We start from the raw sequence: 20,797 nt of genomic DNA, 5'->3' as shown, positions 1-20,797 counted from the left end.
TGTGTCTTCTTTTGAGAAATATCTATTCAGGTCTTTTGCACATTTATTTATTTATTTATTTCAGTTTTATATGTAGATTGTATTTTATTTTGAAATGTGATACGGTGCTATTCTCTTGCATTTTCTTAGACGTGACTCACCACTAACCCTATATTCCCCCATTTCAGGCCAGTTGGTCATAAGCATCCACTTGCCCCAGAGAATATTGGGTTGTTATGACAAGACTACAAAGTTGGAAAGAAATAGAATATTTGAGTCTACCCTGTAAGAATAAAAAGAATAAAAGGGTTTTAAATTTATTTAGACCCTATTGTTTAATCAAGAATTCTGGCCAGGAGCAGTGGCTCACGCCTATAATCCCAATGCTTTAGGAGGCCAAGGCAGGAGGATCGTTTGAGGCCAAGAGATTGAGACCAGCCTGGGCAAATTATTGCTCAGGAAAAAAAGGTCTTATTTAATATTTTAGTCTTTACAAAGTTTTTTGCTATTATGGAGTATTCTCTCAAATACCTTATGTACATCCACGTTGTCTAAGACATGCCACTTTAACATTCTAGATACACTGTAGCTGTCATTTTACCCTAAGCCATTAGGAGCACTGATCCACATAAAATTGGGCTGTTTTATTTATTTATTTATTTATTTATTTATTTATTTATTATACTTTAAGTTTTAGGGTACATGAGCACAACGTGCAGCTTAGTTACATATGTATACATGTGCCATGTTGGTGTTCTGCACCCATTAACTCTTCATTTAACATTAGGTATATCTCCTAATGCTATCCTTCCCCCCTCCCCCCACCCCACAACAGGCCCCGATGTGTGATGTTCCTCTTCCTGTGTCCATGTGTTCTCATTGTTCAATTCCCACCTATGAGTGAGTACATGCGGTGTTTGGTTTTTGGTCCTTGCGATAGTATGCTGAGAGTGATGGTTTCCGGTTTCATCCATGTCCCTACAAAGGACATGAACTCATCATTTTTTTATGGCTGCATAGTATTCCATGGTGTATATATGCCACATTTTTTTAATCCAGTCTATCATTGTTGGATATTTGGGTTGGTTCCAAGTCTTTGCTATTGTGAATAGTGCTGCAATAAACATAAGTGTGCATGTGTCTTTATAGCAGCATGTTTTATAATCCTTTGGGTATATACCCAGTAATGGGATGGCTGGGACAAATGGTATTTCTAGTTCTAGATCCCTGAGGAATCGCCACACTGACTTCCACAATGGTTGAACTAGTTTACAGTCCCACCAACAGTATAAAAGTGTTGCTGTTTCTCCACATCCTCTCCAGCACCTGTTGTTTCCTGACTTTTTAATGATCGCCATTCTAACTGGTGTGAGATGGTATCTCATTGTGGTTTTGATTTGCATTTCTCTGATGGCCGGTGATGATGAGCATATTTTCATGTGTCTTTTGGCTGCATAAATGTCTTCTTTTGAGAAGTGTCTGTTCATATACTTCGCCCAATTTTTGATGGGGTTGTTTGTTTTTTTCTTGTCAATTTGTTTGAGTTCATTGTAGATTCTGGATATTAGCCCTTTGTGAGATGAGTAGATTGCAAAAATTTTCTCCCATTCTGTAGGTTTCCTGTTCGTTCTGATAGTAGTTTCTTTTGCTGTGCAGATGCTCTATAGTTTAATCAGATCCCATTTGTCAATTTTGGCTTTTGTTGCCATTGCTTTCGGTGTTTTAGACATGAAGTCCATCTCCATGCCTATGTCCTGAATGGTGTTGCCTAGGTTTTCTTCTAGGGTTTTTATGGTTTTAGGTCTAACATTTAAGTCTTTAATCCATCTTGAATTAATTTTTGTACAAGGTGTAAGGAAGGGATCCACTTTCAGCTTTCTACATAGGCCTAGCTAGTTTTCCCAGCACCATTTATTAAATAGGGAATCCTTCCCTCATTTCTTTTTTTGGTCAGGTTAGTCAAAGATCAGATACTTGTAGATATGCAGCATTATTTCTGAGGGCTCTGTTCTGTTCAATTGGTCTATATCACTGTTTTGGTACCAGTACCATGCTGTTTTGGTTACTGTAGCCTCGTAGTATAGTTTGAAGTCAGGTAGTGTGATGCCTCCAGCTTTGTTCTTTTGGCTTAGGATTGACTTGACAATGCGGGCTCCTTTTCAGCTCCATATGAACTTTAAAATAGTTTTTTCCAATTCCGTGAAGAAAGTCATTGGTAGTTTGACGGGGATGGCATTGAATCTATAAATTATCTTGGGCAGTATGGCCATTTTCAGGATATTGATTCTTCCTCCCCATGAGCATGGAATGTTCTTCCATTTGTTTGTATCCTCTTTTATTTCATTGAGCAGTGGTTTGTAGTTCTCCTTGAAGAGGTCCTTCAAATCCCTTGTAAGTTGGATTCCTAGGTATTTTATTCTCTTTAAAGCAATTGTGAATGGGAGTTCACTCATGATTTGGCTCTCTGTTTGTCTGTTATTGGTGTATAAGAATGCTTGTGATTTTTGCACACTGATTTTGTATCCTGAGATTTGCTGAAGTTGCCTATCAGCTTAAGGAGATTTTCGGCTGAGATGATGGGGTTTTCTAGACATGTCATCTGCAAACAGGGACAATTTGATTTCCTATTTTCCTAATTGAATACACTTTATTTCCTTCTCCTGCCTGATTGCCCTGGCCAGAACTTCCAACACTATGTTGAATAAGAGTGGTGAGAGAGGGCATTCCTGTCTTGTGCCAGTTTTCAAAGGGAATGCTTCCAGTTTTTGCCCATTGAGTATGATATTGGCTGTGGGTTTGTCATAGATAGCTCTTATTATTTTGAGATACGTCCCATCAATACCTAATTTATTGAGAGTTTTTAGCATGAAGGGCTGTTGAATTTTGTACCTCTAGTGGAATTCGGCTGTGAATCCGTCTAGTCCTGGACTTTTTTTGGTTGGTAAGCTATTAATTATTGCCTCAATTTCAGAGCCTGTTATTGGTCTATTCCGAGATTCACCTTCTTCCTTGTTTAGTCTTGGGAGAGTGTATGTGTCAAGGAATTTATCCATTTCTTCTAGATTTTCTAGTTTATGTGCATAGGGGTGCTTATAGTATTCTCTGATGGTAGTTTGTATTTCTGTGGGATCACTGGTGATATCCCCTTTATCATTTTTTATTGCATCTATTTGATTCTTCTCTCTTTTCTTCTTTATTAGTCTTGCTAGGAGTCTATCAATTTTGTTGATCTTTTCAAAAAACCAGCTCCTGGATTCATTGATATTTTGAAGGGTTTTTTGTGCTTCTGTCTCCTTCAGTTATGCTCTGATCTTAGTTATTTCTTGCCTTCTGCTAGCTTTTGAATGTGTTTGCTCTTGCTTCTCTAGTTCTTTTAATTGTGATGTTAGGGTGTCAATTTAAGATCTTTCCTGCTTTCTCTTGTGGGCATTTAGTGCTCTAAATTTCCCTCTACACACTGCTTTGAATGTGTCCCAGAGATTCTGGTATGTTGTGTCTTTGTTCTCATTGGTTTCAAAGAACATCTTTATTTCTGCCTTCATTTTGTTGTGTACCCAGTAGTCATTCAGGAGCAGGTTGTTCAGTTTCCATGTAGTTGAGTGGTTTTGAGTGAGTTTCTTAATCCTGAGTTCTAGTTTGATTGCACTGTGGTCTGAGAGACAGTTTGTTATAATTTCTGTTCTTTTACATTTGCTGAGGAGTGCTTTACTTCCAACTATGTGGTCAATTTTGGAATAGATGTGGTGTGGTGCTGAGAAGAATGTATATTCTGTTGATTTGGGGTGGAGAGTTCTGTAGATGTCTATTCGGTCTGCTTGGTGCAGAGCTGAGTGCAATTCCTGGATATCCTTGTTTACTTTCTGTCTCGTTGATCTGTCCAGTGTTGATAGTGGGGTGTAAAAATCTCCCATTATTATTGTGTGGGAGTCTAAGCCTCTTTGTAGGTCTCTAAGGACTTGCTTTACGAATCTGGGTGCTCCTGTATTGGGTGCGTATATATTTAGGATGGTTAGCTCTTCTTGCTGAATTGATCCTTTTACCATTGTGTAATGGCCTTTATTGTCTCTTTTGATCTTTGTTGATTTAAAGTCTGTTTTATCAGAGACTAGGATTGCAATCCCTGCCATTTTTTGTTTTCCATTTGCTTGGTAGATCTTCCTCCGTCCCTTTATTTTGAGACTATGTGTGTCTCTGCACATGAGATGGGTTTCCTGAATACAGCACACTGATGGGTCTTGACTCTTTATCCAATTTTCCAGTCTGTGTCCTTTAATTGGAGTTTTTAGCCCATTTACTTTTAAGGTTAGTATTGTTATGTGTGAATTTGATCCTGTCATTATGATGTTAGCTGGTTATTTTGCTCGTTAGTTGATGCAGTTTCTTTCTAGCCTTGATGGTCTTTACAATTTGGCATGATTTTGCAGTGGCTGGTACTGGTTGTTCCTTTCCATGTTTCGTGCTTCCTTCAGGAGGTCTTTTAGGGCAGGCCTGGTGGTGACAAAATCTCTCAGCATTTGCTTATCTGTGAAGCATTTTATTTCTCCTTCACTTATGAAGCTTAGTTTGGCTGGATATGAAATTCTGGGTTGAAAATTCTTTTCTTTAAGAATGTTAAGTATTGGTCCCCACTCTCTTCTTGCTTATAGAATTTCTGCTGAGAGATCAGCCACTAGTCTGATGCGCTTCCCTTTGTGGGTAACCCTACCTTTGTCTCTGGCTGCCCTTAACATTTTTTCCTCATTTCAACTTTGGTGAATCTGACAATTATGTGTCTTGGAGTTGCTCTTCTCGAGGAGTATCTTTGTGGTGTTCTCTGTGTTTCCTGAATTTGAATGTTGGCCTGCCTTGCTAGATTGGGGAATTTCTCCTGGATTATATCCTGCAGAGTGTTTTCCAACTTTGTTCCATTCTCCCCGTCATTTTCAGGTACACCAAGCAGACATAGATTTGGTCTTTTCACATAGTCCTAGATTTCTTGGAGGCTTTGTTCATTTCTTTTCATTCTTTTTTCTGTAAACTTCTCTTCTTGCTTCATTTCCTTTATTTGATCTTCCATCACTGATACCCTTTCTTCCAGTTGATTGAATCAGCTTCTGAGGCTTGTGCATTTGTCACGTAGTTCTCGTGCCATGTTTTTCAGCTCTGTCATATCCTTTAAGGACTTCTCTGCATTGGTTACTCTGATTAGCCATTCGCCTAACTTTTTTTCAAGTTTTTTAACTTCTTTGCCATGGTTTTGAACTTTCTCCTTTAGCTTGGAGTAGTTTGATCATCTGAAGCCTTCTCCACCTCTTCAAAGTCATTCTCCATCCAGCTTTATTCCATTGCTGGTGAGGAGTTGTGTTCCTTTGGAGGAGGAGAGGTGCTCTGATTTTTAGTTTCCAGTTTTTCTGCTCTGTTTTTTCCCCATCTTTGTGGTTTTATCTACCTTTGGTCTTTGATGATGGTGACAAACATGGGGTTTTGGTGTGGATGTCCTTTCTGTTTGTTAGTTTTCCTTCTAAGAGTCAGTACCCTCAGCTGCAGGTCTGTTGGAGTTTGCTGGAGTTCCACTCCAGAACCTGTTTGCCTGGTTATCAGCAGCGGAGGCTGCAGAACAGCAGATTTTGTTGAACAGCAAATGTTGCTTCCTGATCGTTCTTCTGGAAGTTTTGTCTCAGAGGAGTACCCGGCTCTGTGAGGTGTCAGTCTGCCCCTACTGGGGGGTGCCTCCCAGTTAGGCTACTCAGGGGTCAGAAACCCACTTGAGGAGGCAATCTGTCTGTTCTCAGATCTCCAGCTGCATTCTGGGAGAACCACTACTCTCTTCAAAACTGTCAGACAGGGGCATTTAAGTCTGCAGAGGTTTCTGCTGCCTTTTGTTTGGCAATGCCCTGCCCCCAGAGGTGGAGTCTACAGATGCAGGCAGGCCTCCTTGAGCTGTGGTGGGCTCCACCCAGTTTGAGCTTCCTGGACGCTTTGTTTACCTACTGAAGCCTTGGTTATGGCGGGTGCCCCTCCCCCAGCCTCGCTGCTGCCTTGCAGTTTGATCTCAGACTGCTGTGCTAGCAATGAGAGAGGCTCTGTGGACATAGGACCCTCTGAGCCAGGCACGGGATGTAATCTCCTGGTGTGCCATTTGCTAAGACCATTGGAAAAGCACAGTATTAGGGTGGGAGTGACCCGATTTTCCAGGTGCCATCTGTCACCCCTTTCTTTGACTAGGAAAGGGAATTCCCTGACTCCTTGTGCTTCCTCGGTGAGATGATGCCTCGCCCTGCTTCGGCTCATGCACGGTGCACTGTTCCCACTGTCCTGCACCCACTTTCCGACACTCCCCAGTGAGATGAACCCTGTACCTCAGTTGCAAATGCAGAAATCACCCGTCTTCTGTGTGGCTCATGCTGGGAGCTGTAGACTGGAGCTGTTCCTATTCGGCCATCTTGGCTCCAACCTGCACATTTATTAATTGGATTGTTTTGTTGTGTCTCTGTGTGTGTGCATGTGTGTGTGTGTGTGTGTGTATGTGTTTGTGTTTTCTTTTTTAAACTGCTATTGAGTTGTTTTAGTTTCTTATATATTCTGGATATTAACCCCTTGTCAGATGCATAGTTTGCAAATACCTGCTACCATTATGTAGGTTGTCTCTTTACCCCATTTCCTTTGCAGTTCAGATGCTTTCTGGTTTACTGAAATACCATTTCCCTATTTTTGTTTTTCTTACCCACACTTTTTAGGTCTTATTCAAAAACTCTTTGCCCAGTGCAATTTCATGAAGCACTTCCCCTATGCTTTCTTCCAGTAGTTTCATAGCTGAAGGACTTATATTTAAGTCTTTAATTTATTTAGAGTTGATAATTTGATGTTGTGAGAAACAGTGTATAGTCTCGTCCTTTTGCATGTGGATGTATAATTGTTACAGCATGACTTATTAAAAAGTTTATTTTCCTCAATGTGCTTTCTTGGTGGCTTGGTTATAAATTGTTTGTAAATGCATCAATTTATTTCTGGGTTCTACATTCTGTTCAATTTGTCTATGTGTTTTTATGCCAGTTACATATTGTTATAGTTACTATAGCTTTGTGGTATATTTTATTTTATTTTGTTTAATTTAATTTAATTTATGTATTTATTTATTTTGAGACAGAATCTCACTCTGTTGCCCAGGCTGGAGTGCAGTGGCATGATCTCGGCTCACTGCAACCTCCACCCCTCAGGTTCAAGCAATTCTCCTGCCTCAGCCTCCTGAGTAGCTGGGATTACAGGCACCTGTGACTGCACTCAGCTAATTTTTGTATTTTTAGTAGAGACGGGGTTTTGCCATCTTGCCGGGCTGGTCTTGAACTCCTGACCTCGTGATCCACCTGCCTCAGCCTTCCAAAGTGCTGGGATTACAGGTGTGAGCCACCGTGCCTGGCACTTTGTGGTATATTTTAAAGTCTAATAGTGTGTTGCCTCTAGGTTAGTTATTTTTTTATCAAGATAGCTTCAGCTATCTAGGGTTTTTTTTTTTTTTTTTTTTTTTTTGCATTTCCAAGAGACCCTCGATAGCCAAAGTATCTGAAGTATCTATTTTTATTTTATCTATATCTATTTTGAAGTATCTGTGTCTGTTTTGTCTATTTCTATAAAAAATGCCATTGGTATTTTGATCGGGATTCCATCAAATCTGTAGATTCTTATGGGTAACACAAAGACTTTAACATGAATTTTTCCAATTCATAAATAGGAAATATCTTTCCATTTATTTACATTCTCTTCAAAATTTTCCATCAATATTTTATATTTTTCATTGTAGATAACTTTTATCTCCTTGGTTAAATTTATTCCTAGGTATATTTTTTGTAACTTTTGTCAAGAGAATTGCTTTTTTGATTCCTTTTTCAGACAGTTTGCTATAGACATATAGAGACACTACTGATTTTTAAATGTTGACCTTGTATCCTGCAAGTTTACTAAATCATTTATTCTAACAATTTTTGATGGCATATACAAGGTATTCTCTCTCTCTCTCTCTCTCTCTGTATATATAATATATATATATATATATATATATATATACATATACACACACATATGAACATGTCTTCTGGAAGCTGAAAAAAAACACATCCTTTTCCCAAATTTCAGTGCCCTTAATTTATTTCACTTGTCTAATTGCTTTAGCTAGAACTTCTAGTACTATGTTGAATAAAATTAGTGAAAGTAGACATCCTTGTTCCAGTTCTTAGAGAGACTTGTTCCCATTCAACTTGTTCTCATTCAGTGTAATGTTACCTGTAGGTTTTTCATATATGTTCTTTATTTTGTTGAAGTGCCTTCCTTCTATACACAATTTCTTGAGTTTTTATCATAAATGGAAGTAGATAAAATGCTTTTTTACCAAATGCTTTTTCAGCATTTCCTGAAAGAGCATATGGTTTTGTCCTCTATTCTGTTAATATATATTATGTTTATTGATTTGCATATGTTGAACCATCCTTGCATGCCTTAGATGAAATTCTATTTGATTATGTTGAATATTTTTTTAATGTGTAGTTGTGTTTGGTTTGCTAGTGTTTTCTTGAAGATTTTTGCATCTGTCTTCATCAGGAATACTGGCCTAAAGTTTCCTTTCTTTATTGTACTTGTATGGTTTAGGAATCAGGGTAATGCTGGCCTCATAGAATTAATTTAGAAGTATTCCCTTCTCTTCATTAAAAGAAAATTCTTTGAGTAGGATTGCTGGTAGTTCTTCTTTAAATGTTTGGTAGAATTCAGCAATGAAGCCATCATGTCCTGGGCTTTTCCTTGATGGGAAACTTTTTATTGCTGCTGCTATTGTCTTATTCATTATTGTTCCTCTCAGAACTTTTATTTCTTCAAGATTCAATCTTGGTAAGGTGCCTGTGTCCTGGAATGTATCTATTTCTTCTATGTTTTTCAATTTTTTGTCATAGTTCATAGTTGTGACTTATCCTATTTCTGTGCTATCAGTTATAATGTCTTCCTTTACATTTCTGACTGGGATTTCTTTCTTTTTTTCTTAGTCTATTGAAAGGTTTGTTGATTCTGTTTGTCTTAAAAAGTCAGCTCTTTGTTTTGTTCATCTTTTGTATATTTTTGTCTCTATTTTATTTATTTCTGTGGTGATATTTGTTGTTTATTTTGTTCTACTTGTTTTTGGTTTAGATTTTTCTTGTTTTTCTATTTCCTTGAGGTATAACATTGGATTGTTTGACATCTTTTTGCTCATTTTCTGTAGGCATTTGTTTGAATATTGTAGGAGTTCAGTCAGAGTGGTGGGAAAAATTGTAAGAGAAAATTATAGAAAAGAGAAGCAAACCTTCCTGGAAGGCTGGGAGGTTGCATAGCTTCAGTAAAATATTTGGCTGAAAGCAGCCTAATCGTCTTTACCTTGAGTTAATAGCAAAAGATCAAATAATAAGGGAATGTGGGGGAGTTTTTATCTTAAATAGCTTGTTTACTCTTGCGGTCCTAAGACCAACCTTTGATTATCCACAGGTGCATGATTGCTGTCTACTTGGGGGGTCTGCAATGTTAATTAACTTCTAGTGGTGTTTCCTAGAGACCTTTGTCATTTAATCTGTACTAAATAAGTGCAAACTTTGCTGGGTTATCTGGCTGATGCTGCAGATTCAGGAACAGAAGCCCCTTAGCTGCATTGACAGGGAAAATATCTGTATCACTGTATGTCTCTCATCCATCCGCTGGGTCAGGGTCTGCAGGCCGGCCCCCACAGGTGGTACCCTGCATGAGGAATGCTGTGAAGGATTGTGACAGACCCCTCGAAAATGAAGGTGAAAAGGACTGAGTAGTTAGTGAGTCAGTAAGTCATTGGTGCACACTTGGGATTTCCAAGTTCCGGGGGGAATTGTTCAGGCTAAGGTTTCATCATGAGTCAACAGTTATCAGCTCAATAGAAACAGTATATAAAAGTATTGACACAGCTGCTTAAAGCTAGTGGAGCCTTGGTTTCACAGGCTCAATTAAGGGACCCATGCAAACTGTGGTATCCCATAACCCATGATTCCCAGAAGAAGGTCCACTAGATGTAGAGCTTTGAGAAAAAGTGGGGAGAAATCTTAAACAACATCATGTGCAAGGGCAATGGATCCCAGTATCATCTCTAACATTGTGAGCTCCAGTAAGGGTGACTTTGGTCCCATTATGCACAGAAGAGCCAAAAAAGGGGAAGGAGGAAGAACCATCACCTACCTTACCACCTACCTCCCTGTCCCTCAGCCCCGCTATCACTGGGGTAAAAACAACAAAGAGAAAACGGAGGTTTTTCCTGAGCCCCCTCCTCCAATGAATAGGAAAAAAACAAGGGATACATTACAGCTGTGGGAACCTGTCTTAAGCAAGCTGTATTAGAAGGGGAGCTCTTAGCCTGCCTGGTAATGCAAGATCAACAAGGCAATCAGGTATATAAACACATTTCTTTTAATGCTTATAAAAAGATAAGAAAAGGCATTAGAGGCTGGAGCTGTATGGCCAAGCAGGCGGTAGATAGAAAGGCTCGGCAGCAGGGAAGCTCGCAGACCTGGAGCTGGCAAGAGCTCCTGAGAACTTGGCCTGCAGTGTACTGGGGAGCCAGGCCCAGCTAGCCTGCTAAGGGAGGAGAGGAGGCGCACGCTAGAGAGAGGGAGCTAGCCTGCTAAGGACAGGCAGGAGGAGTGTGAGGGACAGACTACCTGGCCGTTAGCAGCCACAGGGGACGGGGGAAGGGAGTGGCACAAACAAAAAGTGGTGCAGACCAAAAGTGGTGCCTAGGTGAGTGCAATGTGGTGCCACCCCGGGATCGTTGCCCTCTGGCTCCAGTCGCAGCCCATGGCAAAATTTCATGTGTTCCTTGTATACAAGCGACATCCCAGATTATAATTCTCTGCTAAGATTAAAGTAAAAATTAAGAATTTGAAAGACCTTTTTCTGATAATGACCACTGTTGTTACTCCAAACTTACCCCTAACGTGACTCTTTCCAAATCCAATTTAAGTAAAACAGTAACCTCTGAAGGGAGAGAAATTACAGAGAGCCCATGAATTAGTTGAGGAGCAATTGAAAGCTGGCCATATAGAACCATCAAACAGCCTTTGGAATTCGCCCATTTTCGTCATTCCCAAAAAGTCTGGTAAATGGAGACTTTTGCACTACTTAACTGCTATTAATGCTAATTTGCAACCTATGGGGTCTCTTCAACAGGTCCTCCCCTCCCCTGTGGCAATTCCTGAAGATTGGCCTATAATCGTTGTTGACTTAAAGATTGTTTTTATACCATTCATCTAGCAGAGAAGGACAGAGAAAAATTTGTGTTTACAATAGCAACTATCAATAATAAAAGGCCAGCTTTTGAAATTGCTGATTTCATTGGAAAGTGCTTCCTCAAGGAATGCTAAACACACCTACCATGTGTCAGTATCATGTAAATCAAGCTTTGCTCCCTAGTAGGACAAAGTTTCCTGACTGCAAGGTTATTCCTTTTATGGATAATATTTTACTAGCAGCCCCAATGGAGCCAATGCTTTTAAATGTATATATCTCTGTCATAAAGAATACACAGTTAAGAGGTTTAATCATAGCATCTAAAAAAGTACAAATGTCCTCTCCTTGGAAATATCTTGGGTACATGCTGACTTCTCAGTCAGTAAAACCTCAAAAGGTTAAATTAAATACTAGCAACTTACATAGCTTAAATGATTATCAGAAATTACTAGGCAATATTAACTGGCTTTGCTGTGCCTTGCGCATTACTACGGATAAATTGCAAAATCTGTTTTCCATCTTAAAGGGCAATTCAGCCCTGGATTCTCCCAGGTGTTTAACTCCTATAGCCAAAAGAGAGATTGAAGAAATAGAACAAGCCATCTCTCAGAGGCAGCTACATCACATAAACCCAGGCTATTCGATCCAGTTGTTTATCTTTCCCACTAAACACTCCCCTACAGGATTAATAGGACAGATGACCCCAGGGCTACACTTTCTAGAATGGGTTTATTGCTCACATACTGGGACTAAAACACAATCTCCCTATATCCAGCTACTTAGTAAAGTCATATATTCAGGCCACAAACAATGGAATCAGTTGCAAGATTGTGACCCTGATATCATCAGGATTCCTTTGAGTAAAAAGCAATTTGAAGCAGTATTGCCCCTCTCTTTAGATCTTCAGATAGCACTCTCTGATTACACAGGCCATTTAGAGCATACCCTCCCTGCTGACAAACTGCTTCAGTTCTTATCTCGTACTTCAATGGTGTTGCCTACAAAAATAGTTCATTCCCCCATACCTAATGCTTAAACACTGTTTACTGATGGTTTGGGTAAACATGGAAAAGCAGCCGTTTGGTGGAGACCATGTAATTCCCTCACTTGATCTGGGTTTACTAGCACTCAGAGAGCTGAGGTTGGGGCCTTAATATTGGCTTTGGAAACTTTTTTCGCTCAGCCCTTCAATATTGTTAGTGACTCGGCTTACCCTGTTTATTTACTGCAGAACCTTGAAGCAGCCCTAATTAAGTCCACACTGGATCCCACCCTGTGTGCTCTTTTTCTCCAACTTCAGCAATTGCTAGATCAATGTACACATCCTATTTTTATTACACACATTCGAGCCCACAGCTCACTGCCTGGCCCATTGGCTTACAGCAATGATCAAGCAGAACTTCAGGTTATGACATCATTGCTTGACCAAGCCACTCAAATGCATCAACTTTTCCACCAAAATTGGAGAAACTTATCTAAACAATTTCAACTTACCCAGAGTCTAGCTAAACAAATTATTCTACAATGCAAATTATTCTACAATCTGAGATTGCTAGCTCACAGGCATGTCCCCTCCTTCAACAGGTGTTAATGCTAGAGGACTGGAACCTAATCAGTTATGGCAAACAGATGTTACACACATCCCTGATTTGGAAAACTAAGATATGTACATGTATCTGTTGATAGTGCACATGCTGTTCCTAGAGAGTCCACTCGATATGTCATTAAACATCTTCTTTTAACTTTTGCATTTATGGGGTGGCCCACAAAAATTAAAACTGATAATGGTCCAGCTTATGCCAGCTCACAGTTTCAACAATTTTGTCACACATGGAACATCCAACACTCCACAGGCAACCCATATAACCCCAAGGACAGGCCATAGTAAAATGTGCCCATTCCACTCTTAAAAATATGCTCAAAAAACAAAAAAGGGGGAGTATGAGTAAGGACCCTGCAACACTAATACCACAAGCCTTATTACCCTTAATTTTTAAAGTTTAGATGACAAATTTCAACCAGCTGTAGACAAGCACTTTGCTAAAACCTCTCAAGACATAAAACCTGCACTTTTATGGAAATATGTAAACAGTAATGTATGGTGTGTTCCGAATGAATTGTTAACATGGGGAAGAGGATATGCTCATGTTCACACCCCCTCAGGTCCTCTTTGGATTCCAGCATGACACATCAAGCCATATCATTGCTTGGCTAGGACCCAACCTGATACCAGAAATGAAGGATTTAACCCTACAGGACCCACAGCCCTGGATGATGTGGCTTCCTCGGACCACACAAGCCCCGGATGTTACCTGGGGGATGCTGAAGAAGACAACTCAGGAGGCTTAATGAATCCTGCTCTGGATGAAGACAACATTTACTGCAGATAATTTGTTCCTTGCTATGCTCTCTGTTGTACATTGCAACTCGCATAGGGCATTGATCCTTTTTATGCTCTTTGTCTGCAACCTGTACCTGCTACACACTATTGGGATGATATCTTAGATCCGCCTTTCTTTCACCTTGTCACCTGGGCAGACACCCCTTCCCAGCCTTTAATAATGTAACTGCTTGGCCAGGAAGGATAGATTTGCCCCCAGTGGGGTTCCTCATTAATGACACACATTGGACTAAGGTGCCAGGTAACACTACATATCACTCTGCTATCCTCCCACTGTGTGTAAGTTATAAAAGTTCTAACTCTTAACTGTGTACCTGCCCAAACACAATTATGGCTACATCGTGGCAAAAGAAATGCATTAACAGCCTTAGCTGCAGGTAGCCTCAAACCGGGCAATGCAATCAATGCCACTTTCCCAAACATTCCTTCCTGTGCTCAAGAACAAAGCTGGGAAAGTAATGGATTCCACTTTAGCTGGGAGGTCTGTCATGGGGAAGAGGCCCGTAGCCTCAAGTTAGGCAATTATAACATCTTAGACTGGAACCCCTACGGCCATTTGCAGGGCAGCCTTACTGATATCCTCATCCATCATGGCATCAATAAGAGTATCATAGCCTTGTCCCATTCCCCTATGATTTGGGCTGATCAGGGCATGGTATATCCTAGACCTCAAGTAAAGTCCATGCCACCCCAAGACACTTTATGGCACTTGGGACATCTTAGCACCTCCCTTGACACCTGGCATGGAATATATCATAATTCCAGTAACAACTATACTATAGCCTTTATTCATAATAACACTGATCTGTGCCTGATTTGCACTACCCATCCATATGATTTCCTTATGGGAACCAATATTTCTATTACACCTCCAAGTTCCATGTTTGTGACCCGGGTGCAGAGACAGGCTTGGTTTGCCTCATGTATCACTAATTACAATATATCTAATTGAAATATTACCAGTGTCATGATATTGAGGAGACAATCTGAGGCATTCCTACCAGTCAATTTGACACGCGATTGGCAAGGTTCCTCTGCCCTTGCCACCTTAGAACAAGCCCTGTCCCAGGTCAGACCCAAAAGATTCATAGGCATACTTATAGCCTTTATAGTCTCAGCCATAGCCATCCTAGCAACTGCTAGTGTGGCTGTAGCACTTATTACTGAATCAGTACAACCAGCTGCTTTTGTAGATAATTTGGCCAAAAATGTGTCGAATGAACTTCTCTTGCAGCATGTCTGTAAGCCCTCAAGGCTGCCTTGGAATATGTCAGGGAGCGAAAAGATGCGCTAGCATTCCTACAGCAATTAAACTGCAACTAGAGGCATAAACATATCTGTGTCACTTCTCTTCCATGGAATCAATCAACAAATAGTTGAGATGAGGTGAAACAACACCTCTGGGGAAACTTTCATGACAATTTAACAGCAGATGTAAAGCAACTTAAAACTAAAATTTTAGAATCCCTTCACACCATAGATCTACACATCCAACAAACAGCCATATGGAAGGGTGTGCAAGATAAGCTCTCCTGGATAGACCCCTGTCCTGGGGGTCACTCCTTGATTGGAAAAGAATGTTGCTGATTATACTCATGTTTGTCTTATGTTATTTGCTAATTCTAGGATGCAAAGCCAGAATAAGAGCAGTAACCACCATGCCTGACACACCTGTTGCTGCACACATCTGCACTCTTCAATTAATAAAGCCTAATGCAAAAAACAGAAAAGGGGGAGATGTAGGAGTTCAGTCAGGGTGGTGGGAAAAATTGTAAGAGGAAATTATAGAAAAGAGAAGCAAACTTTCTTGGAAGGCTGGAGATTTGCGTAGCTTCAGTAAAATATGTGGCTGAAAGCAGCCTAATCCTCTTTACCTTGAGTTGATAGCAAAAGAGCAAATAACAAGGGAATGTGGGGGAGTTTATCTAAATAGCATGTTTACTCATGTGGTCCTAAGACCAACCTTCGATTACCCACGGGTGCATGATTGCTCTCTACTCAGGGGGTTGGCAATGTTAATTACCCTCTAGTGGTGTTTACTTGAGACCTTTGTCATTTAACCTGTATTAAAGAAATGCGAACTTTGAGGCTTATTGGGCTGATGCTGCAGCTTTAGGAGCAGAAGCCCCTTAGCCACACTGACAGGCAAAATATCTGTGTCAGTGTACATCTCTCATCTGTTGCTGAGTCAGGGTCTGCAGGTTGGACCCCACAGTATATACTTCCATTTTAGAGCCACTTTTGTTGTATCCCATATGATTCACTGTGTTGTGCTTCTATTTTCATTTGCAATGAATTTTCAAATTTCCGTTTACATTTCTTCATTGACTCATTGGTTGTTTATAAACATTTTGTTTAATTCTATATATTTATAAGGTTTTCAGTGTTTCTCCTGTTATTTATTTATAGTTTTATTCTATTATGGTCAGAAAAAAATACTTGAAATGATTTCAATAAAAAAATTACACTTGTTTTTTGGCCTAACATATAGTTTCTCACGGAGAATGTTCTATTGTGCTGTTGAGAAGAATGTGTATTCTGCAGCTGTTGGGTGAAATTTAAAAAAAAAATCTGTTAGGACCATTTGGTCTAGAGTGCACTTTGACTTCAATATCTCTTTGTTGATTCTCTATCTGGATAATCTGTTGATTGCTGAAAGTGTATATTGAGGCACCCTAATATTATCACATCACATTCTATCTCTCCTAGGACCATTAATGCTTGCTTTATGTATCCAGGAGTTCCATTGTTGGGCCATGTATGTTTACAGTTTTCATATCCTCCTGCTCTATTGACCCCTTTATCATTATATAATGGCCTTCTCTATCTTTTCTTACTGTTTTGATTTAACATCTATCATTTTTGGTTTCCATCTGCATGAAATATCTTTTTCCGTACCTTCCCTTTCAGTCTATGTGTGTCATTATAGGTGAAGGGAGTTTCTTGTAGGCAGCATATAGTTAAGTTTTTAAATATTTATTCAACCACTCTGTGTCTTTTAATTAGATAATTTAGTCCATTTATATTCCATGCTACTAGTGGACTCACTACTTCCATTTTGTTACTTGTTTTCTGGTTGTTTTGTAATTCCTCGCTTCCTTTCTTGTTGTCCTCCTTTGTGGTTGACTTGCTTTGGTAGCACGTTTTAATTCCTGGCTTTCTATTTTTTGTGTATCTACTACAGGTTTTTGCTTTGTGGTTACCATTAGGCTTACAAAAAATCTTATCACAAATTATTTTAAACTGATGACAACTTAATTTTGATCACAAAGAAAATAAGGAAAAATAAACTAAAAAACTCTAAACTTTAAATCCATCCACCCCTCATTTTTACTTTTTGTCATCTCACCTTACATCTTCTAATTTTGCCTATTTTTTAACCAAATTGTTGTAGTTGTTATTATTTTTAATAGATTTGTCTTTTTTCTTCATTCTACAGGTATGAGTGGTTTATACACTACAATTACAGCATTAGAGTATGCTGAATTTGTCTGTGTACTTACATTTACAAATGATTTTTTTTAACCTTCAAATGTTTTTTATTGTTGTTGTTGTGTATCAATGTCCTTTTTAAAGATTAAAGAACTACAGCACATCTTGTAGGACAGGTCAGGTGGCGATGAATTTCTTCAGCTTTTGTTAGTGTGAGAAAGTCTTTATCTCTCCGTCCTTTTTAAGGGATTCTTTGCTAAGTACAGTATTCTTAGCTGGCAGGTTTTTTTCCTTTAGCACTTTGGATGTCATCCCACTCCCTCCTGGCCTGAAAGGTTTCTGTTGAGAAACCTGCAGCTAGATGTATCAGAGGTCCTTTATAGGTTATTTGCTTTTTTTCCCCATTTCTATAATCTTATCTTTGTCCTGTCTTTTAAGTATCTGATTATAATATGCCTTACAGTAGCAGTAGTAGGTTGAATCTGCTTGGTGACCTTTGATCTTCCTATACCTGGATATTTGTGTCTTTTCCTACATTTGGAATGTTTATTATTATTATTTTCTTGAATAGTCTTTCTACCCCTTTCTCTTTTTCTATGCCCTCTTTAAAGCCAATGGCTCTTACATTTGGTCTTATGAGGCTATCCCATAGGTTTAATAAGTATTTTTCATTGCTTTTAATTCTTCTTTTCTTTTGTCACTTCTGATTGTATATATAAATAAATATATATATATATATATATATATATTTTTTTTTTTTTTTTTTTTTTTTTTTTTTTGAGACAGAGTCTCGGTCTGTCACCCAGACTGGAGTGCAGTGGTGTGATCTCAGCTCACTGCAAGCTCTGCCTCCCAGGTTCATGCCATTCTCCTGCCTCAGCCTCCCAAGTAGCTGGGACTACAGGTACCCGCCACCACGCCCGGCTAATTTTTTGTATTTTTAGTAGAGATGGGGTTTCACTGTGTTAGCCAGGATGGTCTCAATCTCCTGACCTCACGATCCACCTGCCTCGGCCTCCCAAAGTGCTGGGATTACAGGTGTGAGCCACCGCACCCGGCCTGATTGTATATTTTTAAATAGTTTGTATTTGAGCTCACTGATTATTTCTTCTGCTTGATCAAATCTACTGTTGTAATACCATAATGCATTTGTAATTCCATCCATTATATTTTTCACCTCTATGATTTGTTTGATTTTTTATTATTTCAATCTCTTTGTTATATTTCTCTTATAAATTTCTTAATTGCTTCTCAGTGAAGTTCACTGAGCTTCTTTGAAACAGCTATTTTGAATTCTCTGAGAGGTCACACAAATCCATCTTTCTAGGGTTGGTTACTGGCACCTTCTTTAGTTAGTTCAGTGAGGTCATATTTCCCTGAATGCTCTTGATACTTAAAGACATTCATCAATGCCTGGGCTTATTGAATCACTTTTTTTAATGATGGCTGCTTTAAAATCTATTTCAAATATTTCCAACATCGATTTTTTATCTGTTTTGGGCACCTGTTAATTGTCTTGTCTCTTTTAAGTTGTGATTTCCCTTGTTCCTTGTATGATTTTTTTTTAATTGCATCTTAGTCACTTTTTAATTTTATATCATGAGACTCTGTGTTCTCTGTAAACTTTTTATTGGAGAGCCCCCCTATTGTTTTGTGGCTGAAGGGCTGCTTTTGTATATATGTTCAGCTTCTTCTGTTAGGTTCCCCTGACACAACCTTTGAAAAAATGCAGCACTAACTCACACTGCCTCATTGAACATGGGCAGTACAGAAGTTCAGCTCCCATCCCAAATTTGCTGACACCTTCGTGGTGATAATGGGTTACAGGTTCATACCATCTTATGACCTCAAAGTGGGAGTGGGGGCTTATCTGAACTCTGGGACCCATTGACACAAAAGGTTTAGGGAAAGTTGAGTACCATCTAGTCCCATCATGTTTCCCTTTGTTCTGTCTCACTGACTGTGGATGAGGATGGAAGGTCAGCTACTCACTGGTTTTCACTGACATTAGGGGTATAGGGAACCAGAGTGCTGACTAGCCCTGACTTGCTCTACTGTATTCAATCTCATTGCTGTCAGGTTTATATGGGGTGTGAGTGTATCATAACAATTACTAGCACTACCTCACACTACCAGATGAATGTGGTGGAGCAACTTACCATTTGACCTTGCTGACACTATCCTGGCAGGGGAATCAGAGTACCATTTGCTTCTGCCAGAGAGGTAGTAGATCAGCTCTTTGTTCAGCATCACCAGTATTTGTCTTCCAGGGGAATAAAAACACTGCCTGTTTTCTGTCAGATGAAGCATGGAAGATCAGCTCTCTGCTTGGTAACACCAACACTACATTGTTAGGGGAACTGGAATGTCAGCTACTTCCACCAACAGTGGATGAAATATCAGTTCTCAACTTTGAGGTTTTTGACTAACTTTGTTCCACACCACAAACTATACCCCCTTTTCCTTATCACAACGAACTCTGTGCTCTTGTCACAAACTCCTGACTAGTTTGTCACATATCCTGTAACCATTCACCCTCTATGTCGTTCCTTGAGCTCTTTGAAAATACCTCACTACACTGCCACCCTCTGAATATCTTCTTTTGTTGTTATTTTAGACATTCAAGTAGTCTTTGCTGATCTCCCCAGCCATAAAAAATCACTACCTCCTTTGGGTCCCCTAGTGCTTCAGTTGTACCTCTTTTATAGCATGCATTATAATCTTTTGTGCACACTGGAATTAACAATAGTTATACCTCCCTCCACCACCCCTCCAATTATAAATTAACACTGAGTATTCCAAATTAATTTTCACTAATGTTTATTTATTAAGAAGTCAATCTTCCAGAAGCTTCCAGTATTTGAAATATTGCTCTGAAATTGGATATAAGGAACAAATCATGCCATAGCCCTCCTTGATTCACAAGCCCTGGCCAAGAGGTCTTGAGTGTAAAACAGAGGAAAGGTTTAGAGGTGGGGTATGAGCTGGGTGGTTTGTAAAAAGATGTAATAAGACAAAATAACTTCTTTCAGGAGATGACTAGTTAGGAGACAACTGAGTACTTACTATGTACCAGTTCATGTGCTGAGAGATTTGTGTGTATTTATCTAATTTAATCCTCACACTTACACTTTGAGGTAAGTTTTATTGTTATCCACACATGTAGGTTGATGAAAGCTTGCCCCCGCCCCACTTGCTTTAATGTTTTCTCCTAAGCATTTTCAGACTTATGGGCACATGTATTCACAGGGTCAGTGATTTAGGTGTTTTAAAAGGATAAAATTGCTGAGGGAGAGCCTGAGTTGCCAGAACTGTAGTCGTCAAAAGCTTGTGTAAGGCTACTTGTTTCACTGTGGAAGATGTCTTTGCATTGGGGCAGGGCAGCTGAAAGCAATTATTTATTCATTTAACAAATGTTTATTGAGTCTCTATTCTGTGTAGGGTATTTGGGATGCAAGATAAAAATCCCTTCTTGAATAAGTTTATTGTCCAGTGGGAGTCATACAAAGTGAACATTATATCAGCATGATAAGGCCTTTTAAATCTATATGTTAGTGAATGGTCTGAATATTAGAATCATAATTTTGGAGAAGAAAGGGTATTCGAATTTTTTTTTGTCTCTTCAGGCCACTTTGTGGGGTTGTAAGCAAGAATTCCCTTGAAGGATGTAACCAAAGGCCTGAGGAAACTGTTTTCCCTGCATTTGTGTGCCCTGTGGGTCATCTTCTTCTTTCATGTGTC

This window comes from Homo sapiens, chromosome X (genome assembly GCF_000001405.40).
Source record: "Homo sapiens chromosome X, GRCh38.p14 Primary Assembly".
In the NCBI taxonomy this organism is placed as follows: Eukaryota; Metazoa; Chordata; class Mammalia; order Primates; family Hominidae; genus Homo; species Homo sapiens.
This window is presented reverse-complemented; position numbering follows the sequence as displayed.